The 25304-nt window shown below is 43.9% G+C and overlaps 1 protein-coding gene across 2 annotated transcripts in view, besides 11 other annotated features; it reads left to right on the top strand.

Moving 5' to 3' along the window:
* Positions 1–25304, top strand: part of GRB2 (growth factor receptor bound protein 2) — an 87603-nt gene that overhangs the window by 39413 nt on the left and 22886 nt on the right. The gene's annotated exons all lie outside the window — the stretch shown is intronic.
* Positions 13832–13991: an enhancer, noted in NCBI's record as "active region_12761". NCBI's record gives its function as "activates an Ori minimal core promoter by ATAC-STARR-seq in GM12878 lymphoblastoid cells {active_cell/tissue: GM12878}" and the evidence as "EXISTENCE:reporter gene assay evidence [ECO:0000049][PMID:35858748]".
* Positions 13832–14178: a biological region, named in NCBI's record as "ReSE screen-validated silencer GRCh37_chr17:73348169-73348497".
* Positions 13850–14178: a silencer, noted in NCBI's record as "fragment chr17:73348169-73348497 (GRCh37/hg19 assembly coordinates)". NCBI's record gives its function as "represses an EF-1alpha promoter that drives an FKBP-Casp9 reporter gene in an ReSE screen in HepG2 liver carcinoma cells {active_cell/tissue: HepG2}" and the evidence as "EXISTENCE:reporter gene assay evidence [ECO:0000049][PMID:32094911]".
* Positions 14947–15484: an enhancer, noted in NCBI's record as "H3K27ac-H3K4me1 hESC enhancer chr17:73346863-73347400 (GRCh37/hg19 assembly coordinates)". NCBI's record gives its function as "activates a minimal SCP1, AML or CMV promoter by ChIP-STARR-seq in primed H9 embryonic stem cells {active_cell/tissue: H9 hESC(primed)}" and the evidence as "EXISTENCE:reporter gene assay evidence [ECO:0000049][PMID:30033119]".
* Positions 15485–16024: an enhancer, noted in NCBI's record as "H3K27ac-H3K4me1 hESC enhancer chr17:73346323-73346862 (GRCh37/hg19 assembly coordinates)". NCBI's record gives its function as "activates a minimal SCP1, AML or CMV promoter by ChIP-STARR-seq in primed H9 embryonic stem cells {active_cell/tissue: H9 hESC(primed)}" and the evidence as "EXISTENCE:reporter gene assay evidence [ECO:0000049][PMID:30033119]".
* Positions 18815–18894: an enhancer, noted in NCBI's record as "active region_12760". NCBI's record gives its function as "activates an Ori minimal core promoter by ATAC-STARR-seq in GM12878 lymphoblastoid cells {active_cell/tissue: GM12878}" and the evidence as "EXISTENCE:reporter gene assay evidence [ECO:0000049][PMID:35858748]".
* Positions 18905–18964: an enhancer, noted in NCBI's record as "active region_12759". NCBI's record gives its function as "activates an Ori minimal core promoter by ATAC-STARR-seq in GM12878 lymphoblastoid cells {active_cell/tissue: GM12878}" and the evidence as "EXISTENCE:reporter gene assay evidence [ECO:0000049][PMID:35858748]".
* Positions 19076–19244: a silencer, noted in NCBI's record as "fragment chr17:73343103-73343271 (GRCh37/hg19 assembly coordinates)". NCBI's record gives its function as "represses an EF-1alpha promoter that drives an FKBP-Casp9 reporter gene in an ReSE screen in phorbol 12-myristate 13-acetate-treated (for megakaryocytic differentiation) K562 erythroleukemia cells {active_cell/tissue: K562(+PMA)}" and the evidence as "EXISTENCE:reporter gene assay evidence [ECO:0000049][PMID:32094911]".
* Positions 19105–19164: a silencer, noted in NCBI's record as "silent region_8964". NCBI's record gives its function as "represses an Ori minimal core promoter by ATAC-STARR-seq in GM12878 lymphoblastoid cells {active_cell/tissue: GM12878}" and the evidence as "EXISTENCE:reporter gene assay evidence [ECO:0000049][PMID:35858748]".
* Positions 20229–21220: an enhancer, noted in NCBI's record as "NANOG-H3K27ac-H3K4me1 hESC enhancer chr17:73341127-73342118 (GRCh37/hg19 assembly coordinates)". NCBI's record gives its function as "activates a minimal SCP1, AML or CMV promoter by ChIP-STARR-seq in primed H9 embryonic stem cells {active_cell/tissue: H9 hESC(primed)}" and the evidence as "EXISTENCE:reporter gene assay evidence [ECO:0000049][PMID:30033119]".
* Positions 20575–20854: an enhancer, noted in NCBI's record as "active region_12758". NCBI's record gives its function as "activates an Ori minimal core promoter by ATAC-STARR-seq in GM12878 lymphoblastoid cells {active_cell/tissue: GM12878}" and the evidence as "EXISTENCE:reporter gene assay evidence [ECO:0000049][PMID:35858748]".

The raw sequence follows: 25304 nt of genomic DNA, 5'->3' as shown, positions 1-25304 counted from the left end.
GTGTATTGGCTCACATAATCGAAACGTTGAAAGGTAGTATAGAGATCAGATAAGATTTGATCAGGGCTGAAGCTCAGCATCTCCATGATTTTTTTTTTCCAAGTTCTGCTCTGAAATTTGTAACGGCTGCAAGGTATTTCATTATATGAATGCACTATAAATAAATATTTAACTGTTCTACTACTGGACATTGTAGGGTGTTTCCTTTCTGCCTCCCGCTATTAAAATAATGCTTAGGTAAACATCCTTGTTATGTTTACATGTGTTTTAAAGGAAGAGTAAGACTTGATATGTGATTAGGTACGACTATGAAAGAGAGGAAAGAGGAGAAATAGTGTGAAAAATGGTATTTCTACAGGTAGAAATGGGCAATTTCAATAGAAGGGAGACATGGGCAGCTGATGGGTTGGGTTGGGCATGCTGAGTGTGAGTCCATTCCTCTAGCCATTCTGTTCATCTTTTTGGTGCTCCTGAGCAACCCCTGGGCACCCACTGGTTATTAATTGTTTCTAACCACTTCTATTTTATCTTTTAATGACTCATTGTACTGGCGGTTTTTTTTCTTTCACTCATTTTCTTTCTATCCCCCATAGTTCCATTGTACTTTCTTTTTTCTTTGTTGTACTTTAATTTGAACTTTTTCGCTTTGGTATAGATTGTACCAGATGTTCCTTTTCAAGTTAAACCAAGCAATCCATTACTACCACAGTTGTATAAGGTGAACCTTTTAAGTCATCTTCTCACCAGAATAACCTGTCCCCATCTAGTCTTCTGTGTTTCACTTTTATTAAAAATGCAAAACTGATTTATTCTGAGTAAAAGAATAGCTGACTTTTCTGTACCATTATTTATAGCAAAGTAGAATTCATTAAAGTAGGATTTAGAATTTCTTGGATATAAAGTTCTGTCCAGGAAGATTTAAATGGTTCTAATTTAGAGGTTTCGGGGTTTTGTTTTTTGTTTGTTTTGTTTTGAGAAAGTTAACCGTAGGAGATCTAGCGTAAGATGAGCCATTCGTTTCTGCCCCCTTGATGGACTTTTCCCACTGTAAACATAAGCCTCTGGGTGGGCAGCAGATGGAGCTGCAGTGGGGTTGGTGTCGGACACCTGCCAGCTTGTGGAGCTCACATATTCTCATTATAGCAATCATTTGATACTAGAACTGCCAGAGAATGTCCTAAAAATAAAGGTGGCCAGTACAAGATTCGTTTGATTTTACTCTTCATGGTCTGCCATTAGAAGTTTGGGTGTTAGGCTCAAAACTACCAAATAAAAACAATTTCGATGTTTTCAGACTGCTCTGTCTTCTGAAAAATGAGAGATGCTTTTTCCCTGTGAGAATTGACCTAAGTAAATAAGTAGTTAGTAGATTTTTTTCCTAAATGGACCTCAAAACACTGCCTTTTTCTGCTTGGCTGGGTTTTTATGTTTGGATAGAATGGAGAGATTAGATTGGGTACTAGATACTTGTCTGTGAAGCAGTTTAGAGTAATCCTGTTATTCTGAGTTCATTGTCCATAATAGTCTTAAATCTGAAATACCTCCATCCCCTACAGCTGCAGAAAATAGACAACCCTAATAGAAACCTGTCAGATGACTGATTACAGGACGTACTGGTCAGAAATAGTATGGACGATGATCTTTGGGGGTCCATTAAAGATGGTATAAAACAACACAGGGAGGGAAGTTTACATAGTGGTTACAGACATGGACTCTGGAATTGGTCAGACCTGGGTTCCGATCCTGCCTCTTCCACTTGTAAGCTCTGTCTCCTTGGGCAAGGTATCTGGTTTTTCTGGGTGGACCTTAGATTCTTCATCTGTAAAATGGTTATAGTACCTATACACCTTACAGAGTTGTGAAGATGAAATGGCCTAATTTGTCATGAATTCTGGTACATAATAAATCTTTACTAAATGTAAGCTGCTGTTTGCTAAAGGAGAGACTAACTCATTTCTCAAACATGTTGAGTGTCTACATAGGTATGTAATAAAACCACAGCCACTACTGTGAAGGATATGGGCTGGCGATTTAAGCCCAGTTGGTTTGAGTTCACTAGTAGAGGCAATGTACAAGGCAGCTTGGTGGCTATGCGTACTATTAATTGGGCAAGGTAATATGGGAGATAGAATATTTTTTGGAACATACTGAGTTCCATTTGGTTATGGTTAAGTTTGTGGTTCTTGTGAGACATAGAGGGAAAGAGATGTATTGGGCTGTTAGATATGCTGGTTTAGGCTGCAGAGATTTGGGCATATCCAAATAGAATACAGGCAGCAATGAAGTTTGTGCAGAGGTTGGCTCTTTCTAAAGTGAAACTGTAGAGTTAGAACAATATCAAAAAGCAAACCTTGAGGAATGCCAAACTTTTTTTTTTTTTTTTTTTTTTTTTTTTTTTTTTTTTTTGAGACGGAGTCTTGCTCTGTCGCCCAGGCTGGAGTGCAGTGGGGCGATCTCCGCTTGCTGCAATCTCCACCTCCCGGGTTCACGCCATTCTCCTGCCTCAGCCTCCCGAGTAGCTGGGACTACAGGCACCTGCTACCATGCCCGGCTAATTTTTTTGTATTTTTAGTAGAGATGGGGTTTCGCCATGTTGGCCAGGATGGTCTCGATCTCTTGACTTGGTGATCCACCCTCCTCGGCCTCCCAAAGTGCTGGGATTACAGGCGTGAGCCACCATGCCCGGCCCGCTAGTTTGCTCTTAAGCTCAGCAAAAATTCAGAGTTGTGATTTAATAAGCGTGAGACTTAGTAAAGCATTTTGTAAATAGAGTATAACATTCCTTGCATTTGTTGTACTTTTGGTTTCCTGAAATAATAGACAGTGTATCTATCACTCTCCTCACCACAATCCACATAGCTTTCCAGAGTAGAAAAGATACTCCATGGAGAAAGTTTAGAAGCAGAAAATGAAATGAGACTGTGTGGAAGTAAAAGTAGCCTATCCTCTGTAACTGATTTTAGAGGTGACCTGTGACCTGGCAGTTCCTTATTTATGAGTGGGTACAGGGCACACATTGACCAAAGAAGATAGTTTAGGTGAGGTGCTACCCTATCTTTGAGAATGGGACTCTTGGCTCTTAAAATTAGAAACCAGGAGATCTATGGGATGGAAAATAGCCTTCCCTTTCCCCCAAATCAAACAGATACACATACTTTGTGACAGGAATAGATTATGAAATATGGTGTCCAGAACAAACTGTCTGCTGGGCTTTTAAAAGGGTTTTATACTTTCTGCTGGGCACCTAGAGCACTTACTCTCCCTTCTGTCTCCTTTTATTACCCACCTCAAGCAGTCATAATTTTTTTCCTTTCCATTCCCTAGGCTTAGCCCTCTTCCTTCCTCTACCCCCAAAATGGGAAAGCCTTTAGTATTTAACTGTAGTACTTTATTTGGCTGTCAGTATTTGTCATATTAGTAATTGGGTGAGCTTGGCTGGAGGTGGGGGGCTGTTCTGCCCTTTTTAAGATTGGCCCACACACCATTGTACTTAGGTACCCACACAGGAGCAGAGCAAGTTGGCTAGATTTTGAATACAAAAGCATGATATTGTGGGTGGGAGCATGTATAGTTTTAGAATTTTTAAAGTAAGGCAAAAACCATGTACCTAATGAGGCCAGTGGAATAAACTTTACAACAGATAGAACTTCTGTTTCTGTTTAACACCCAGCAATAAAAATGCTAAGAACAGGGATAAAGTGAAAATTATTAAGCCCTTGTATCTATTGCTGACTGGTAAAACCAACACATCAAAAAATATCTTTTGGCTCCCAACTTGTTAATAGTTTCTGACTTACGTGTGTTCTGAGTGATTTGGTGGAGTGAATGAGCTAGGTCTTGATTTTTCCCTCAAAGGATTGAAATTTGGTTCTTGGAGGGTGAAAAAACAAAACTCAACTCTTCATGCATAAAGCACAGATAAACAGTACAGTACATAAATATATGTGTATTTTCATCTGTGGTATCAGAATTTCATGAGAAGTGGTAATTAAGGAAAAAATGTCTACAAAGACATGGCGGAGGTGATGATGATTAATAAAAAGACTGAGATATGGGGCTCTCCCCTTTGAGGACCTGTAGGACCTACGTATCTGTGTCCTGGAGAGGCTAGTGGCCCTTCTTTATTTTTCTCATCTCTAAAACTGGGCCTGAGGGTGATGAATGGTGTCACTAGCTGAAGTGCTTCAGGAATGCCAGTGGGTACTCTTAGGATTATTATGGCACAATGTATGTGGTTCTGACACTTAACCAGGAATACAAGCAGTGCTTTACATACTTTCCTTGTATTGGAGAGCCTAGTGGTTGCATTAAACATGAGGGAAAAAATCTGAAAAAATACCAAGTATGACAAGAAATGAATATTATTTTAATAATCCCTTTTTTTTTTTTAATAAAGACACAGACTGGTCTCGAACTCCTGGCCTCAAGCAATCCTCTCATCTCTCATTTTAATAGAGTTGCTCAGTTAGTAATGGACATGTAATGAGCGTAATATATTTTGCTCATGAAATCCTAATGTTTTCAGGGATATTAAAACTTAGTAAATTGGGAAGCTTTTTCCCCCTAGTTTGGTGGGGAGTTTAATGCCCTGCATGCATCACCGTCTCCCCACTCCATAATTTTTAAGGATGGCTCCTCAGACTCTGTGTATGAGTATTTCCCTCATACCATATTTGGTATTTTTGCAAGTAGATAACTTGGTACCTTTGTAATATGATAAGTCTAGATAGATGAAGGAAGTAGTGTTTCCTGATAAATTACGCAGTTAGTTGGTAAGGAGACGATAGGATTTATGATGACATTTTTAGGAGTCAAGTGTTTAGACCCATTTTTCTGAGGATTTCCCTGTCTTTCCCACAGCATAGGAGACCATCTTGTCCTATTTTTCTGTCCTTATACTGCCTGAAGGAAAGATGTGCATTTGGATCTTTGCCACTCTGTAGTTTAGTTTGTTCCCTTGTCCTCGTTTAAGACAGGTTCGCAAAATGTTTTTGAGAACAACACAGACTGGAATTTGAATTGAATTGCACTTTTTCTTTTTATTAGCTGTTTGTGGTCAAGACATCTGACCTCTTTGAGCTCTGGTTTGTTCATCTGTAAAATAAAAGTACTATCTCTGGGAAGGGTTGCCTTTAATACAGGAAGGAAGTGTAACAGGTACACAATATATTGTACCTTTTAAAAGTTTGACTTTAGGTCAGGCATAGTGGCTGATGCCTGAAATCCCAGCACTTGGGAGGCTAAGGTGGGAGGATCGCTTGAGGCCAGGAGTTTGAGACCAGCCCTGTTCAATAGAGCAAGACCCCATCTCTACCAAAAAAAAAATTAAAATTAGCTGGGCGTGGCAGCACATGCCTGTAGTCCTGACTGCTCCAGAAGCTGAGGTGGGAGTTCAAGGCTGTAGTGAGCTGTGTTCACGCCACTGCACTCCAGCCTGGGTGAAAGAGCAAGAACCCTGTCTCAGAAAAAATTGAAAAAAGTTTAAAGTGAAAAAGAACATAGCATCATAGGACTCTTATTTTATAAGGGGATTTATCTGAGGCCCAGAGAAGCCAAGTGGGCAGAGAGCAAGGTGAGCAGGAGCAGCTGGGCCCATGCCACAAGGTCCCTGTGTGTCCTTTTTGCCCCACAAACCTTGCTTTTGTATTAGGTCACTCCTTACTGTACAGACACAAGTGGTAATGATGGTGTTTTGCTGTCCTGTGTGAACTAGTGTTGAGTTTGACCTCAGTTGAATCAGTAGGGGATTACATTTCTGTGAATTCTGTGGAAGCCTTCTAAAATCAGATAATTACCTTGCTTGTATTTGTGACTTCAGTTACTAGGCTTTATGATAGGAATATGGATTGGAAAATACTCTAAAATCCCATCTGGTCCTTTGATTTTTGTGTGTGAAGGGCTTAAAATTACCAGGAATTGTTCCAGACACAGAAAACTAGTTCCTGTTGTCCAGAATTATGTTTCTAAGATAGTAATGGGAGGACTAAACTTGTAATCTGTTGAAAACATATTTTTGAGATTTAAGTTATTGATGCATTTGTTTATTGTGAATAAAAATAAAACAGAGTAAAAAATCATAATCACATTTCCTTGTTTACATTTGGGAGATCGTTTATGATTTCTTTTTAATTTGACTGTTTAAGTATATTAGAGACAAGGTCTCGCCATGTTGCCCAGGCTGGTCTCTAACCCCTGGCCTCAAGCAATCCTCCCACCTCAGCCTTCTAAATTTCTGAGATTACAGGCATGAGCCACCATGCCCAGTCTGTCTTTTTTTTTTTTTTTTTAAGACAGAAAGAACTTTGTAACACACCACTTTTTCCAACAACATTTATCTTTCCAAGACAAGTCAAACACTTATTGAATGCCCTTGAGTATATACCAAGATTAATAGCCGAGGCTACTACCCACAAGTAGTTCAATTTAGTAGAGAAAAGAGTATATTGAGACAGGTATACATGGTTCAGTGGTGGGAAGAAAGTGATTCTTAAATTAGGTCTTGAGTTTGCCATTTTAGGCAGAGAGAACAACATATACAAGTGTGAAAATCATAAAACATTCTGGCAGTTGGGAAACCGCAGGTAGCTTTAGTGTTGTTGAAACTTGGAGTTCAAGGCAGGAAGGCAGGAGATGACAGGGACTGGCAGGTGGAGATTGGGGAGTTAGGCAAGGTCTGGGCCATGGAGAGCTTTGTGTTCAGTGCTGTGCTTACTCACACCAATCTGAAATTATTATTATTATTTATTATTATTATTATTTTGAGACAATGCCTCACTCTGTCACCCAGGCTGGAGTGCAGTGGCATGATCATAGCTCGCTGCAACCTCGAACTCCTGGACTCAGGTGATCCTCCTGCCTCAGCCTCCCAAGTAGCTAGGATTATGGGCATGTGTCACCGTGCCTGGCTGATTTTTGTATTTTTTGTAGACATGGGTCTCACTTTTGTTGCCTAGGCTGGTCTTGAGCCCTTGGCTTCAAGCAGTCCTCCTGCCTTGGCCTCCCAATGTGCTAGATCACATGTATGAGCCATCAGCTATTTGGAGACAATTTAACCAAAGTTGTATTGTCTATTATTCCTCTTTTTTTTTTTTTTTTTTTTTTTTGAGATGTAGTCTCAAACCCTCCTGGGTTTAAGGGATTCTCCTGCCTCAGCCTCCCAAGTAGCTGGGATTACAGGCGTGTGCCACCACACCGAGCTAATTTTTGCGTTTTTTAAATAGAGACAGAATTTCACTATGTTGGTGAAGCTGGTCTTGAATTCCTGACCTCAGGTAATACACCCACCTCAGCCTCCCAAAGTGCTGGGATTACAGGTGTGGGCCACTGGCCTATTTTATATATATATATATTTATATATATATATATAATTTTTTTTTTTTTTTTGAGACAGAGTCTTGCCCTGTCGCCATGCTGGAGTGCAGTGGCACAATCTCAGCTCACTGCAACCTCTGCCTCCTGGGTTCAGGTGATTCTCATGCCTCAGCCTCCTGAGTAGCTGGGATTTACAGGTATGTGCCACCATACCCAGCTAATTTTTTGTTTTTTTTTTTTTTTTTTTTTTTTTTAGTAGAGATGGGATTTCGCCATGTTGGCCAGGATGGTCTTGATCTCCTGACCTCGTGATCCGCCTGCCTCAGCCTCCCAAAGTGCTGGGATTACAGGCATGCCCAACCGCGGCTGGCCCTGTCTGTTACTCTTAATGATCTTAATGACAGCTCTGTCAGTGTTAACATGTTTCTCCGTTTTAGGATAATGCCATGAATATACAGAGCTAACCACTCAGCAAACACTCAAAGGTAATGGGGAATGAGCATGCCACAGATAAATAATGGAAAGAGGCTAGAATGCAACTTAAATTGGAATTTAAAACAGACAAAAACACACTCCACCCATAGTGTAGGAGATATTTAGTAACATGAATTGGAGTTTTAAAACTCTAGTCAAAATGTTAAATATTTGAATTCTTTTCTAACAATTTAGGTAAAATGCAATTTGGAATAATTTTAACAGGGCTTGTGGCCACATTTTTGGTTTAAATATTTATTTACTTAGCTATTTTCTTCCTCTATACTTGTGTGGGCAGTGAACCTAATAATTAGGTTAAAGGATTAAAAAAATCAATTCCAGAGAGCTCACCTTTGACTAACATAGCAAAGACCATCATTTAGATTACATCAATGGTAATTTCAGGCTAGACATGGTGGTTGGTGGCTCATGCATGTCGTCTGCAACCTCCACCTCCCGGGTTCAAGCGATTGTCTTGCCTCAGCCTCCTGAGTAGCTGGGACTACAGGCACGCGCCACCACGCCCAGCTAATTTTTGTTTTTTGTTTTTTGTTTTTTTTGAGACAAAGTCTCACTGTGTCGCCTAGGCAGGAGTGCAGTGGCGCGATCTTGGCTCTCTACAACCTCTGCTGCCCAGATTCAAGCGGTTCTCCTGCCTCAGCCTCCCCAGTAGCTGGGATTACAGGCGCCTGCCACCACGCCCAGCTAATTTTTGTATTTTTAGTAGAGACAAAGTTTCACCATGTTGGCCACGCTGGTCTCGAACTTGTGACGTCAGGTGATTTACTCTCCTCGGCCTCCCAAAGTGCTAGGATTACAGACGTGCACCACTGCTCCTGGCCTGCCTCAGTTTTAAGCATGAATAGACCGTCAGGGAGCACCAGATGTTTGAGGAATGGAATATTTGGGCCATTGAAGGATTTTAAGCCAAATGACCTGACAGTCCAACTTTAAAAGAAGACAACTTTATTTTTTCAAAGAACAATTTTAGATTGATAGAGAAGTTGTACAAAGAGTTATCATATGCCCCACATTCACTTTCACCTATTACTAACATTATTATGGCGTATTTACTATTAATGAGCCAATATTGATACGTTATTATTAACTAAAGTTCATACTTGATTCAGTATTTCCTTAGTTTTTCCCAGTGTCCTTCTCTGTTCTACGGTCCCATCCAGGACACCACATTATACCTAGTCATCATATCTCTCTAGACTCCTCTTGGCTGTGACATTTCTGACTTAACTACATCAGTGTAGAGTGAGAAATAAAAATTAAAAAGAAAAACCCTCAAACATTTCTGCCTTACATTTTAATGATGCTAATTCTGGTTGCAGGATTCAGAAGATTCTGATGGTGGCAAAGTGAAAGCAGTGAGACGGATTAGGAAGCCACTGCAGTAATCCAAGGCAGAGATAATGATAGGGCTGGATCAGAATGATGGTGGTAAAAGTGAAAAGTGTTCCATTTGGGGATGTTATAAAAGCCATTAGCCTGGATGGGGAAACTAAAGGAATGAGTGTAGATGGAGAAGAAAAGAGTTCCAGGGATGGAGCCCTTGGGGCACCTGAATGTTTAAAAGTTAGTGAGATAAGAAACTAGCAAAGGAGACCCAACAGGAAGTGGCCAGTTACGTAGGAAGAAAAGCTGGGAAATGATGTGTCTTGGAAGCCAAGAAAGTGCTTCAAGGTGAAGGAAATGATCACTTCTGTTTTGCCCTGCTTATAGGCCAAGTCAGATGAGGGCAGGGAATTGACCTTTGGATTCAGCAACAGGAGCTGATTGGTGACCTTGAGTAGTTTCAGTAGAGTGGTACGAGCGGAATCGTGCTTGGAAGCTGGTTCAGAGAGGATGGGTATGCACAGGGAAAGCTGCACAAGGAAACTTGCTGTGGTGATAGATGTGTTCTTTATCTCAAAGGTAGCAGATATGTAAATTATACATGCAAACTAATATTTATGAAAGAACGAATGATAGGGTCTTGCCCTGTCACTTAGGCTGCGGTACAGTGGTGTGATCATGGCTCATTGCAGCCTCGACCTCCTGGGCTCAAGCGATCCTCCTGCCTCAGCCTCCCAAGTAGCTGGGACCACAGGTACACACCACCACACCTAACTAATTTTTAGAGAACAGGGTTTCACAACATGTTGCCTAGGCTGGTCTTGGCTCCTGGGCTCCAGCGAACCTCTTGCCTCAGCTTCCCAAAGTGTTGGAATTACAGGCATGAACCACTGTACCTGGCCCAAATATTTAAATATAGGTAATAATATGTATATTGAAGTATTTAGGGGGAAATGTACTCATATCTGTAACTTTGAAATGCATTAAAAATTAAGATAGATAGGGCCAGGTGCGGTGGCTCATGCCTGTAATCTTAGCACTTTGGGAGGCCAAGGCGGGTGGATTACCTGAGCTCAGGAGTTCGACACCAGCCTGGGCAACATGGTGACACCCTGATTCTACTAAAGTACAAAAAAAAATTAGCCGGGCATGGCAGCGTGCGTCTGTAGTCCCAGCTACTCGAGAGGCTGAGACAGGAGAATTGCTTGAACTCGGGAGGCGAAGGTTGCAGTAAGCCGAGATCACGCCACTGTACTCCACACTCCAACCTAGGCGACAGAGCAAGACTCTGTCTCTTTAAAAAAAAAAAAAAAAAAAAAAGAAGAAAGGAAAATTAAGATACATCAATAGGAGAGAGGGATGTATATAGATGGATAGATATGTGACAGAGCAAATAACTTAGGTCAAACTTGTCCAGCCCCACAGCCCGCAGGCCACATGTGGCCCAGGATGGCTTTGAAGGCGGCCCAACACAAATTTGTGCTTTCTTAAAACATTATGAGATTTTTTTGCTTTTTTTTTTTTTTTTAAGCTCATCAGCTATCATTAGTGTTAGTGTATTTTATGTGTGGCTTAAGACCTTTTTTTTTTTCCAGTATGGCCCAGGGAAGCCAAAAGATTGGACATCCCCGATTTATGTGATGGATAAATGTATTCACTGTAAAATTCTTTTCACTTTGCTTTATGCTTGAAAGCTTTTATAACAAGATGTTTGGGGAGGAGGAGAGAACTGGGACAGAGAGTATAGACAACTGTTCCAGAAAGTTTTGATTTAAAGGGGAACAGAGAGATGAGGCAGTAGAGTCAAAAGAAGTCTGCTTTCACCCCACTCCCAGAGATGAGAGAAATGACAGCATTTTTATTTGTTGATTAGAAAAATCCAGTAGAGATTTTAATTAAAATTGATGATGCAGAAGAAAGGAAAATAACTGAGTTAATGTCCTTGAGCAGGCAAGAAGAGATGGGATTCAGCACCTTCGTAGAATTTTGTTTTGCTAGGAACAGGGACAAAAGTACGAGTACAGGTCCTGGCCAGGCGCGGTGGCTCACGCCTGTAATCCCAGCACTTTGGGAGGCCAAGGCAGGTGGATCACCTGAGGTCAGGAGTTCGAGACCAACCTGGCCTACATGGTGAAACCCCGTCTCTACTAAAAATACAAAAATTAGCCAGGCATGTTGGCATGTGCCTGTAATCCCAACTACTTGGGAGACTCCCGAAGTGCTGAGATTACAAGCATGAACTGTGCCCGGCCATAGATCTGTTTTTATTCACTATGGCTGGGTTCTCAGTGCGCCCTTCCTATCTGAAAATTCATATTCATCAGCTATGAGAAGTTAAGTTTTTCCTTTTTAAAAAACATTTCGTAGTGTCTTTTCTTCTATTTTCACTGTTCTCTTTCTGGAAGTTTGAATAATAGCTGTCACATCTTTTGGAAGACTGCAGTGGGCTCTTCCAGCAATTCTTGAATCCAGCAGTCCCCAACCTTTTTGCTACCAGGGACTGGTTTCATGGAAGACAATTTTTCCATGGAAGTGGGGGGTCGAGATGGTTCAGGATGACTGTTCAACCTCAGATCATCAGGCATTAGATTCTTACAAGGAGCGGGCAACCTAGATCCCTCGCGTGAGCAGTTTACAGTAGGGTTTGTGTTCCTACGAGAAGCACTGGCAATGTGGTGAAACCCCATCTCTACTAAAAATAGAAAAATTAGCCGGTTGTGGTGGCAGGCACCTGTAATCCCAGCTACTCAGGAGGCTGAGGCAGGAGAATCGCTTGAACATGGGAAGTGGAGGTTGTTGCAGTGAGCAGAGATCGCACCATTGCACTGCAGCCTGGGAGACAAGAGTGAAACTCCATCTCCCCCCCCCCCCCAAAAAAAAAGACCATGAATAAACTTTGCTTGTACAACTCTGAATACCAGAAAACAATGTCTCTTCCAAGTTCTGAGGGAAAATGCTGTTCAGCCCAGGATTCTGTTGAAATCTATACCCAGCCGAAATAGCCTTCAAGTATAAACATAGAATCAAGACATTTCCAGACATGCAAGGACTCAAAACATTTGCCCCTCACGCACCCTTTCGTTTTTGTTTTTTTTTTGAGACAGAGTCTCGCTCTGTCACCCAGGCTGGAGTACAGTGGTGTGATCTCGGCTCACTGCAACCTCCGCCTCCCGGGTCCAAGCAATTCTCCTGCCTCAGCCTCCCAAGTAGCTGGGATTACAGGCATGCACCACCATGCTTGGCTAATTTTTTGTATTTTTAGTAGAGACGGAGTTTCTCCATGTTGGCCAGGCTGGTCTTGAACTCCTGACCTCAGATGATCCGCCTGCCTCGGCCTCCCAAAGTGCTGGGATTACAGGCATGAGCCACTGTACCTGGCCAGAATTTTTTTTGTTGTTGCCCAGGCTGGAGTGCAGTGGCGCAGTCTCGGCTCACTGCAACCTCTGCCTCCCAGGTTCAAGCGATTCTCCTGCCTCAGCCTCCTGAGTAGCTGGGATTACAGGCATGTGCCACCACACCTGGCGAATTTTTGTGTTTTTAGTAGAGGCGGGGTTTCACCGTGTTGTCAGGCTGGTCTTGAACCCCTGACCTCATGATCTGCCTGCCTTGGCCTCCCAAAGTGCTGGAATTACAGGTGTGAGCCACCGCGCCCGGTAAAAATGGTTTTTTTTTTAAGGGCATAGAAACTCGAGGAAATACAGAAGCCCAACCAGTAAAGGAAGTACAGTTGACCCTTGAGCAACAGAGGTTTGAGCTGCATGGTTCCGCTTATACACGGATTTTTTTCAGTCTACATGTGTGTCAAAAAGACAGTATTCACAGGATGCACAGCCCACTTACGCAGAGGGCCAACTGTGGGACTTGAGTATGCACAGATTTGGGTATATGCAGGGGTCCTGGAACCAGTCCCCCATGAATACAAGGTACAACTGTGTCTTTTTTTTTTTTTTTTGAGACGGAGTCTTGCTCTGTCGCCCAGGCTGAAGTGCAGTGGCGCGATCTCGGCTCACTGCAAGCTCCGCCTCCCGGGTTCACGCCATTCTCCTGCCTCAGCCTCCCGAGTAGCTGGGACTACAGGTGCCCGCCAGCACGCCCAGCTAATTTTTTGTATTTTTAGTAGAGACAGGGTTTCACTATGTTAGCCAGGATGGTCTCGATCTCCTGACCTTCTGATCCACCCACCTCGGCCTCCCAAAGTGCTGGGATTACAGGCGTGAGCCACTGTGCCTGGCCAACTATGTCTTTTAAAAAAAAAAAAAAAACAAGTTAACTTTTTCTCCCAGAGAACGGTCTTGTGAGCTTGATGATGAAAATTCAACTAGAGAAAACTGGAAATTTTGGTGCTAGTCAGTTCAGAGTTGATAGCCTTAATCATTATTGATTTATTATACATAGACATCCGTGACATTAAAACACTTTTACTGCATAGAGGGGATCATAAAGGCTGAGTGATACCAGGCTGTAGCTGCAAACAGTAGGGATATCTTAGTTGTCACATAATATGTCTGATCGCTTTTCTCCTTTGGGAAACTACTTGTCATTGTGAGCAGGAGAATGAACCGTTTATGCCTGGTCACCCTTCCATTTCCAGGGAGCGTGGATGTTCTGTTGGTACTGGGGCCTGACCCAGAATCATGGGATTGTACACACATTTCTCCTTTAAGCACAACATGAAATCAGGAAGTTGTTCTTGTAACTTGGAGTTGCGGGTCTGACAAGCCTGTTGTTTGCGTTAATACATCCTATCATTTAGCCGTCTTAGTCCCTCTCTTCTCTGCAGGTTGTGACAGTTCTGTGGGACAAAAGTGCTGATTTTTCACATGGAGCAGCGTGTAGGTGCTTAGAGAAAGAACTAGAGGCGGAGCAAGGCTGAGCTTGTCTCTTCATGATGGTGCCTGCCAAGAGCAGGGGCTGTGCTGCGGCTGCCCTGCCCCCCAGCCCTCCCAGTGAACCTGAACCTGCTCCTCCTGAGCTGTGTAGCTGCCTGAAGGAGGCCAGGACCTGGGTAATTAATTACTAGAGAAGCCTCTGGTCTAGCAGCAAAAGGAGGTAGTTAATTTAGCCTGCCTGTTAACAATAGTTATATTTGTCTCCGATTCCATTAGAGATGCTTAGGAAAAGGTTTTTATATCCTGAACCCTGATGTCCATTTTCTTAATGCAAAGGCCTGTACTTGGGGTCTTGTAAGCCCCCTAATGTCACTCTTTGAAGTGAAGTAACTATACGTGATAAGTGAATAAAATGTGTCAGAGTGTACTACTTAGAATTTTCATAGATTGTAAAGATTTTCTATATATTTATTTGAATTGGTAATTGGTTATGAGCAGTTTGGTGTAGCTGTTTTTAATTGTACAACAATTAAGATATCACCTATATTCTCGAAGAATGGGATCATTCCTTCTAGGTGAGGGATTATCCCTTTAATATATTTTCTTTCTCTTTGTCTTTGTTTATGGTGGAGAATAATTAAACTTTTTTTTTTTTGGAGGTAGGTCTTGCTCTGTCACCCAGATTGGGGTGCAGTGGCATGATCATAACTTACTGCAGCCTCAGCCTTCCAGGCTCAACTGATCCTCCCACTGTAGTCTCAGAGTAGCTGGGACTACAGCCGCACACCACTATACCCAGCTAACTTTTTTGTTCTATTTTTTGTAGAGACAGGTCTTGGCTATATCCCTCAGCCTAGTCTTGATCTCCTGGGTTCAAGTGATTCTTCCGCCTCAGCCTCTCAAAGTGCTAGATTACAGGTGTCAGCCACCAGCACTTGGCCGTCTTCCTCTAATTTTTAATTTTTTCACTTTGAGAAGCCTATGATATGACATGGAATTTGATGTCTCATCCTGTGTGGTCCTGTGCACCCTGTTCCTACAGAAGTACAGAGGGAATCTTTTGAGAGGGAGGGATAAACTTAGATTCTTAAAAATAATGCATGTGGGTTTTTCAGTGTTCATTTTAGATTCTCTTCAAAACAGTCAGAAGCCCCCTACCCTAATCTCAATTCCTGTCTGCTCCCTCCTGGCTCCCTGCAGTAACCCCTTCTCCACCTGATCTTCCTGCTGCTGCTCTTTGTCCCCTCAGAGCCGTGTGCCACACACAAGCCAGAACCATCATCCTAATGAGCAAATTCCCCAAGTCCTTATTCTGCCCTGCACAGTCGGGCTCAGTTCTCTGTCCCTGGTCTCCCCTAGACTATGCCACATCCCTTCCTGCCTGAGAACTTTTGCACCTGCGCATTCCTCTGCCTGGAATGTTTCTTGCTCTCATTTGTGTCCTCAATGCCCGTCCCCAAGCCTCACTACAGCCTACTTACACTGAGGGTTTCCATTCAAATATTACCACCCAAGTGGCCAGGCACGGTGCTTCACGCCTGTAATCCCAGCACTTTGGGAGGCCAAGGTGGGCGGATCACGAGGTCAGGAGATCGAGACCATCCTGGCTAACACGGTGAAACCCTGTCTCTACTGAAAATACAAAAAAATTAGCTGCGCGTGGTGACGGGTGCCTGTAGTTCCAGCTATTTGGGAGGTTGAGGCAGGAGAATGGTGTGAACCCAGGAGGCGGAGCTTGCAGTGAGCCGAGATCGCGCCACTGCACTCCAGCCTGTGCAACAGAGCGAGACTCCGTCTCAAAAAAAATAAAAATAAATAAATAAATGTTACCGCCCAAGTGAGCTTTCCTTGCATTGATTAGATTCGGTCTCCCCAAGATGTGCTTTCATACAGAGCACTCTGGACTCATAGAACTTACACCTGAAGTTGTAGTGAACTTGGCTTCCCCTGCTGTCAGCTCTTTGAAAGTAAGGCTCATTTTTAAAATTGTATCCCCAGGACCTAGCATAGCTCCTAACTCAAAATAGGCACTCACTCATACTTGTTTACTCAGTCTTTTTTTTTTTTTTTTTCCCCTCAGAGATGAGATCTTGCTATATTGCCTGGGCCAGAGTGCAGTGGCTATTCACAGGTGCAATCATAGCACACTATAGCCTTAAACTGCTGGGCTTAAGGGATCTTTCCCAGGTAGCTGGGACTGCAGGCATATGCCACTGTGCCCAGCTGCTCCCTTAGTCTTGACTATGTATTTTTTTTTTTTTGGTTGTTTTATTAGGATAGAGTCCTAAGAATGGCATTACTGGGTTAATAGGTATGAACATTAGATCTTTAATACATACAGTCGAATTACTTTTCATAAAGCCATATACCTTTTTATATTCCCACCGATACTATCCCTATCACTAAGTATTAACTTATTTTCATCTTTGCCAATATGATCATCCAAAGTGAGGCAGTGGGTGGCCATCAGATGTCTGAGTCAGCAGGGTGTGGTGGCTCACGCCTGTAATCCCAGGATTACAAATTTTGGGAGGCTGAGGCGGGTGGATCACCTGAGGTCAGGAGTTCAAGACCAGCTTGGCCAAAATGGTCAAACCTCGTCTCAACTTAAAATACAAAAATTAGCCAGGCGTGGTGGTGGGCGCCTGCAATCCTAGCTACTTGGGAGGCTGATGCAGGAGAATCACTTGAACCCAGGAGGCAGAGGGTGCGGGGGTTGCAGTGGGCCAAGATCGCATCACTGCAGTCCAGCCTGGGCAACAGAGTAAGACTCTGTCTCAAAAAAAAAAAAAAAAAAAAGTCTGAGTTATGAAAACAGAAGGCTCGAACCAGCCCCTTGATCTAGTTATTCTGGGCAAGCCTACATGTGTCCTCGAAGGTTTCTGGGCTCTCAGGTTTTACAGCCTTAGCAGGCTAAAGGCAACAGGGAGGACAGCTTGTCTTATCTGTTAGGCAGTAGTTTTAGTAACATGGCCAGCATGGTTACCTGTAAGAGAGGACCCTGCTTGATTGAGCCACATCCAGCTGTCCAAATGTATGTAATTACCATTTATCATTGAAACATATGACAGCTCCATCAAAAGAGAGCAATGTGTAGTCTGGCAGAGGACAGTAGGATTAAACAAGAATGGCTTCTTTTATTTAAACTCAATGAAAATACAAGAGGGAAAATTACTTTGCTTACTATACCCTCTCACCTGTTATAAGCTGTTCTACCTTTAGGTTCTTGCCCTATTCCTAGACTATTTGAAGTTGTCCTTTTTTCTAGAACGTCCACACATGAGTTGAATTTTCCATGTCAGCCATGCAGCTAATTTAGAAACATGTTGCTGGGTTGGGCGCAGTGGCTCATGCCTGAAATCCCAGCATTTTGGGAGGCTGAGGTGGGCGGATTGCTTGAACTCAGGAGTTCGAAACCAGCCTGGACAACATGGGAAAACCGCATCTCTACAAAAAATACAAAAATTATCCAGGCGTGGCGGCGTGCACCTGTAGTCCCAGCTACTCAGGAGACTGAGGTGGGAAGTTCACTTGGCCTAGGAGGCAGAGGCTGCAGTGAGCAGAGATTGTGCCACTGCATTGTCTAGCCTGGGTAACAGAGTAAGACCCTGTCTCTAAAACTGAAAAGTAAATAGAAACATGTAGCGGTGAATTCTGTGTCCAGCTCAAAATCAGCAATTTCCCTTATCTCACTTTTTTACTTATTTCCTCTTTATTTACACACATAGCTCCCTTAGCTCATAAACACTTCTGAGGGCAGGGACCATGCCTTTTATTCTTATTCCCTTTTCAGCTTCCTAACACAATGCTTTCAGTGTAGTAGACACTTGAACAATATCTAAAGTGCAATTCAAAGGGGCAGCTACTGCAAGTCATTATGCCAGTCTAGTAATGGTCAGATTACAAATCTGAGGTTTTTATACCTTCACCCCCTTTCTCAACTTTTAATAGTAAACAGAATAGGGCTGGGCATTATGGCTCATGCCTATAGCCCAGCACTTTGGGAGGCTGAGATGGGAGGATACCTTGAGACCAGGAGTTCCAGACCAGCCTTGGCAACATGGTGAGACCCTGCCTCCACAAAAAAATTTTAAAAGTAGCCAGCTGTAGTGGCTGGCATCTGTAGTCCGAGCTATTTGTGGGAAGATCTGAGACGGGAGGATCACTTGAGCCCGGGAGGCTGAGGCTGCATTGAGCTGTGATTGTGCCTCTGCACTCCAGCCTGGGCCACAGAGCAAGACCCCTGTCTCAAATTTTGAAAAAGCGGTTAACAGAACAGAATTGTTTGGCTCTTTTATAGTTTTCTTCTTCCAAGTAGTTGGTAGAATTTGGATACTTTCTGCCCCATAACAAATGTCACTTTATATAAAGGAGCATGTCCTTAATGCATTCCAAAAGACATATACAACTGATTTTAGGCTAATTTCAGTCTGAGTCCTGGTAGAGAACACCTGACACACTTAAATTGAGAGGATTTTAATAATGAGACTATTTGCAAGGTGTTGACTCCAGCTGGGGACCTCCACACTCAGCCCACTCAGGCTAAGTCTTGGTTGCGCACCAGCTCAGCTCATGGCTGGGCTGGGTATGCCCCAGCTCACCTGTGTTATGGCTTGTTCCCAGGTTCAGCAGTTCCCAAGGTCTTGTCCTGTGTCTGAGAAGAATGAGGTTACACTGGCAATTTAAGGGTGAGGAGGGTGGAGAAGAATTTTATTGAGCGGTGAACAGCTTTCAGGAGCGGAGGAGGTAGTGGTTCCCCACCCCTGAAGTCTGGTGGTTTCTCTCCCAGTGTGGCTGGGTGGGGGCTTTTATGGGCTCAGAACAGGGGCATGCATGCTGAATGGTTTGTGGGCATGCAAAGAAAGGCTAAAGCAAAGGCACCACTCAAAGATGGGCATGGCAGTGTAGAAAATCAATTCGGAAAGGGTAGGTAGATGTAAAATAGGTGAAGAGTGGGGATCAATCAGAGGAAAGCCTACCAAATGGGAAGATGGGTTCTCAGTCCGGTCCATGGATTTGACCTGTAGTGTGGCTTTCAGGCTTTCAGTTGTCTTTGGCTTAGAGGTGGGGTTTCACTGGAGACCCGCCCCTGTGAGGCATTTGTCTGCCTCCTGCCGCTATCAGTGTGGGCGAAGTTTCTCTAGAAACCACAGGGATAATGCAGTGTCCACAGCTGGTAATCAGGTTACCACCATGAGGCCTACGACAGGGAGAAGGAAGGGGGAGGAGTTGCCCAAACCTGGAGAAGGAAAGGACTTACTTTCAATTGAGAGTCCAAGACTGTCCACAGACACTCTCAGGGTGGGAGCTGGGAGAATGAATGCCCTGACCTGACCCTCCCTTCGTCTGACCTTCTGCAGGCCTCCCCATTGATTAATAGCACTGGGAGCCAGAGAGTGAGGGAGCCTGTTGATGTGGTTCTTACAGAGCCAAAAAGTCAGAGCAGGCTGGGCACAGTGGCTCATGCCTGTAATCCCAGCACTTTGAGAGGCCAAGGTGACTTGAGGTTAGGAGTTTGAGACTAGCCTGGCCAACATGATGAAACCCCGTCTCTACTAAAAAATACAAAAATTAGCCAGGTGTGGTAATCCCAGCTGCTTGGGAGGCTGAGGCAGGGGAATCATTTGAACCCGGGCGGTGGAGGTTGCAGTGAGCCAGGATTGCACCACTGCACTCCTGCCTGTGCAAAGAGTGTGACTCTGTCTCAAAAAAAAAAAAAAAAAAAAAAAGGCAAGAAAAGCAAGGTGTAACTGGATCTGGAGAGACAGATGGAGGATACCAGCATAAGATTGATACCTGTCTTTGTTTTTTGGAGACGGAGTCTCACTCTATTGCCCAGGCTGGAATGCAGTGGCGCAGTCTCGGCTCCCTGCAACTTCTGCCTCCCAGGTTCAAGCGATTCTCCTGCCTCAGCCCCCCGAGTAGCTGGGACTACAGGCGCCCGCCACCGTGCCCAGATAATTTTTTGTATTTTGTAGTAGAGACAGGGTTTTACCATGTTGGCCAGGCGGGTCTTGAACTCCTGACCTCAAGTGATCCGCCTGCCTTGGCATCCCAAAGTGCTGGGATTACAGGCATCAGCCACTGTGCCCAGCCAATATAGCAGTTTTTCTAAAGCAGTTTTCAGAAAAAAAAAAAAAAAAAATCAGTGGCCGAGAGGAAGACCACTGAGCAGCATCTCATCACCAAGTCCTTTTGATTCTACCTCCAGAAATACCTCGACTCTCTCCTCTCTACCGCACTGCCCCACCCACCTGCACCTCCTTGCAGTTCATCTCACAGTCAGCCAGAGGAGCTTTTGAAAAATGCAAACCTGAATGTCACTCTCAGCGACTTCTGATGATTGTAACATATAAGCTTGAGCTTCTTAATTTGCATACTGTGGTCTTCTGCCAGACCACCCACAGGAGAGCCTTTGATCTCCCTTCAAATGTCACTGGCTTGGGGAGGCTTTCTCAGGCAGCCCCCACCCCGAGACTAGTTTAGGTCCCTGTGTTTTCTGCTCCCTGACCCTGTCCACTAGCTTGAATCCACATTTGCAGTTTGTATTGTCATTACCTGTTGAACTCTCTGCATTCGCCTCCACCCTGGGGGTGGGGGTGGGGGTGGGGGTAGGGACTTGCCACTCTACCCCAGTTCCTCTTCCTCTGTCATGTGATTATAACAAGCCTTTCCCGATTTGGAACTAGATTAACTGCTTCAGAAGTAGAAAATGCATTTGGAACTAGCTTTTTGAGTTGGAAATTAACGGTGTCCTGGTGGGAGGACCCCAGCCTTGAGTTTTTCAGTCCTGTATCCTTATGCACACGTTGGTGAATAGTTCTGTGACCAACATTGCTTTTTCTTCTTTCAATAACATCCTCTGAGGTGGCTCTTGGGTCACAGAACGACTGAAAATCGATCAGTCCTTTCATTGACCCCTTGAATCATAGTCTTACGTGGAATTAAATAAACTCTGTTGTCGGGCGGGGTGCGGTGGTTCACGCCTGTAATCCCACAACTTTGGGAGGCTGAGGTTGGCGGATCACGAGGTCAGGAGATCGAGACCATCCTGGCTAACACGGTGAAACCCCGTCTCTACTAAAAATACAAAAAAAATTAGCCAGGCGTGGTGGCGGGCGCCTGTAGTCCCAGCTACTCAGGAGGCTGAGGCAGGAGAATGGGATGAACCCAGGAGCGGAGGTTGCAGTGAGCCGAGATTGCGCCACTGCACTCCAGCCTGGGGGACAGAGCAAGACTCCATCTCAAAAATAATAATAATAAATAAAATTTAAAAAAAAACCTCTGTTGTCATTAATTTTCAGGGTAGAGGTTTGAGCTCCTGTTTTCTGCTTTATGCTGAGGCAGTGGGAAGTGAGTGGAGACCTTAGAGGGTGGAACTGACACACAGGAGCGGGTTTGCCTGTTAGCATCACAAAACATGAGTAACAGCTGCTCCCCCAGGCGGGGGGGTTGGGAGGGGGTGTGGGGGGTTGGGGAGGCTTTGTGTTTTATTTTTTGAAGAGAGGAGTGTAGGATTTCATGTAAGATTAAAAGCCTCCTTCTGTTAGTGAAAGGATGAAAAGGACAGTTGCTAAATATGTGTCATTAAAGTAAAGAATTAGCTACAGTTGAGGCCGAGCGCGGTGGCTCAACACCTGTAAATCCTGGCACTTTGGGAGGCCGAGGCGGGCAGATCACTTGAACTCAGGAGTTCAACACCAGCCTGGCCAACTTGATGAAACCCTGTCTGTACTGAAAATATAGAAATTAGCCAGCTTGGTGGCAGGCACCTGTAATCCCAGCTACTCAGGAGGTTGAGGCAGGAGAATCGCTTGAACCCGGGAGGTGGAGGTTGCAGTGAGCTGAGATCACGCCATTGCACTCCAGCCTGGGCAACAAAAGCAAGACTCTGTCTGAAAAAAAAAAAAAAAAATTAGCTACAGTTGAGGTTATTTAGGTTATTTCCAGTTAGAAGTTCTGATACCATTAATAAATATTTTACCTTTAAGCTAAAAGAAGCTTAACCAGTGTTTTAGTTAATAGCAGCCAAACAACAATCTGTCTACTTGCAGAGTCTGCCATGTTCCTTCTACTCACAGTCCACACAGACTAAGCAGAGCTAAAGATGCAGACAGGGAATAACCAAGTTCACACTTCATCTAGGATGTTTTCCTGATACCCCCTAACCTGGAGTTAAGTCATCGTCTTTGGTGTTTGGAAGTCAGATGTTTTCTATTGAATTGATGCCTACATAGTACCCATAACTCCCCACTCCTGACATTCGTCACACTGTGATGCACCTGGCAGCTTTCTAGTCCCCTAAGCTCCTTGGGAAGGGTATCCATTTTATCCTCAGTTCACCTAGCCCAGGGCTTGGTGTTTGTCTAGTACAGGTCATCATATGATTGTTGAATTTTTCAAATACACAGATTTTTCTTGAAACCTCTTGATCTCTGTGTTGGTCTCTTCCTGCCCCCTCCCTTCCTCTCCTTTCTTCTCCCTGCTCGTGCAGTTGAAATTCTGACATTCCAAGAGCATTTCAGCTCCACCAAATAGGACTTCCACATGTCACAAAACGCAAGACAGTTATTTTGAATGGAAACTTTTTGTACCCCTTTGGTAGAAGTTTATTTTGGGGTTTGTCTATGCATTTAGGTTTCACTGCCTCCAGATTTATCTGGGTGGAGTAATATCACATAAGTGTGAACTACCTTCCTGTTTTGTTAAAAATATCAAGAGCAATTTCTCTTGATGATAAGAGGTCAACTGAAGAGGTTGATGAGCATATCCTAGTTATCTTTTGAACTAAAATATTTCTCAGAGAAAGAAATATCCTGTAATTTGGTTAGTCGTCTTAATTGTTCATCTTCTAACATGTATGAACATTATAAAGAAACTTTTTTAATACATGAATAGTCCTGGTCTCTTAATGTGATCATTTTTCTCCATCAGCCTAGTTGCTGGTCAGTGGGTGAATCAAAAAATCCAAGGTCTTGCAGACTGTTCCATAAAAATTTTGCTGGCAGAGTTGTAGCTATTAAAATTAGCACCCTGCAAAAGTCTGTCACAAGTCAGACAGGCAGACCGAATCAGAATTAGACATCACATTGCCAGGAAGCGCTCCATCCTGAGAGGGATTAATAGGACATGTGTAGAAACAGACTTACACCTCCTCTCTCCCTGGTCCAGCCCCCTTTATCCCTGTCATACTGAAAGTTCCCTGCTCTACCCACCCACCCCCACTCCTTCCCAATCTTATACCTTTTTTTTTTTTTTGAGACAAGGTTTCTCTCTGTCACCCAGGCCGGAGTGCAATGGTGCAATCACAGGTCACTGCAGGCCTCGACCTCCCAGGCTCAAGCAATCCTCCCACCTCAGCCTCCTGAGTAGTTGGGACTGTATGTGCACACCACCATGCCAGGCTAATTGTTGAATATTTTGTAGAGACAGGGTCTCCCTGTACCCTCTAGGCTGGACTCAAACTCCAAGGCTCAAGGCATCCTCCCGCCTTGGCTTCCTGGAGTGCTGAAATTTTACAGGCGTGAGCCACTGCACCCAGCCTACTTAGACAAAGAAGTAGGTGGCCTTGTGGAAAGGTACTCCACATGGCCTTTAGGCAGGGTGCTTACGTTACAGGAAGACTGATTGTTTAATTCTCTTACCTCCTTTACCTCTCCTTGCTTGGATCAACAAACTCATGGCAGTCTTTCTAGGATCTATTTAAGAGGTTCTTGTTTATCACCAAGAATGTATAAATTGACGGTGCGGTGGCTCATGCCTGTATTCCCAGCACTTTGGGAGGCTGAGGTGGGAGGATCGCTTGAGCCTAGGAATTGGAGAACAGCCGGGGCATCATATGAAGACCCTCGTCTCAATTTTTTATTAAAAAAGAAGAGAGAGAATGTATAAATTGTTGTAGACCCAGCTTGCTCTAGGGCACTAAATGTATTACTTAGAACACTTAGAACAAAGCCCCCACATATAAGTCAGTTCCCCAAAATATGCTAGATACCATACTAAGAGCTGTGAGGAAGACAAATGAGAACTGGGTATGGAGCCAGCTTCATTGCTTGCGGGTTAGTTTGGGAGGGGGCCAAGACATAGCAGCACATGGTCCAAGTAGTGATAGACCAGATACCATAAGGGATTATATTATTGACAGTAATCCTCCATTAAATACTATAAGATTGAAGCAGAGGGAAAGGTGACCAGGGTGGTTGTAAGCTCTGAACTGAATTTTGAAAGATTTCAGTAGACAAGGAAAAGTACAGACAAGCGGTGGGGAGGAGTACAGTGTGTTTAGAGGTCGGTGAGTTGACTAGCTGACTGCACGGCAGGGCTCATTTGGAGAAGCAATGGGAGATCAGAGCAGAGAGTCGATGATGGCCAAATTATGAAAACTGGAATGCCAGACTATATTTGCACTTGTAGAAGGATACTTACGGCTTTTTAACAGAAAAATTATGGTGGTTAACTTTGGAGCACTTAAGCGTTGTTGCCTGGACATTTGGTGGGTCCCCATCTCCTGACTCACCAATGTTTCCCTGTCACACTGATCCCCACTTTGAGCAGCTACTTTTCAGAAAGGTTGCAGTTGGAAAGAAAGCAGTATTCATGGGGCACAACTCCTTCCTTCATAGGCAGAGGGAAGTATAAAGTAATGAATGATTTTTACCGTGGAAAGTTGGAGTTTGGGGACTTTGTCCTCCTCCCTGTCTTTCCTTCCTCCTTCCCTTTTTTTTCTTCTTTTCCTTTAAAAATGTTTAAAAGGTGCTAAGTCAGAACCTCTCACCATTCCATCACCAGGGGTCAGGAGGTATACCTGACTAACAAATACCCTTTGTTTTTCTTTTGTGTTTTTTTTTTTTTTTTTTTTTTAATGGAGTCACTCTGTCACCCAGGCTAGAGTGCAATGGCGTGATCTCGGCTCACTGCAACCTCTGCCTCCTGGTTTCAAGCGATTCTCCTGCCTCCAAGCGATTCTCCTGCCTCAGCCTCCTGAGTAGCTGGGATTACAGGCACGCACCACCAAGCCCAGCTAATTTTTTATATTTTTAGTAGAGACAGGGTTTCACCATGTTGACCAGGCTGGTCTCGAACTCCTGACCTCAGGTGATCCACTCACCTCAGCATGCCAAAGTGCTGGGATTACAGGCGTGAGGCACTGCGCCCAGCCAGGAGAGTTTTAAAACTTCATAAATGCATTTCATTTCTTCTCAACTTTCTGGTTGTTAAAAGCCAAGTACGTATCACCTGGCCTGGTTGGCGAAGATGCTTTTCAGATTTTTATTGAGCCGTGGCCTTGCTGTAGTTGCGGTCATTCCAAATGGAGACTGATCTGCTCGGCATATGTGAGAACTGTTC

Source organism: Homo sapiens, chromosome 17, assembly GCF_000001405.40.
Source record: "Homo sapiens chromosome 17, GRCh38.p14 Primary Assembly".
NCBI lineage: Eukaryota > Metazoa > Chordata > Mammalia > Primates > Hominidae > Homo > Homo sapiens.
Note: the sequence above shows the minus strand (reverse complement) of the source record. Positions and strands in the feature narration are given on the sequence as shown.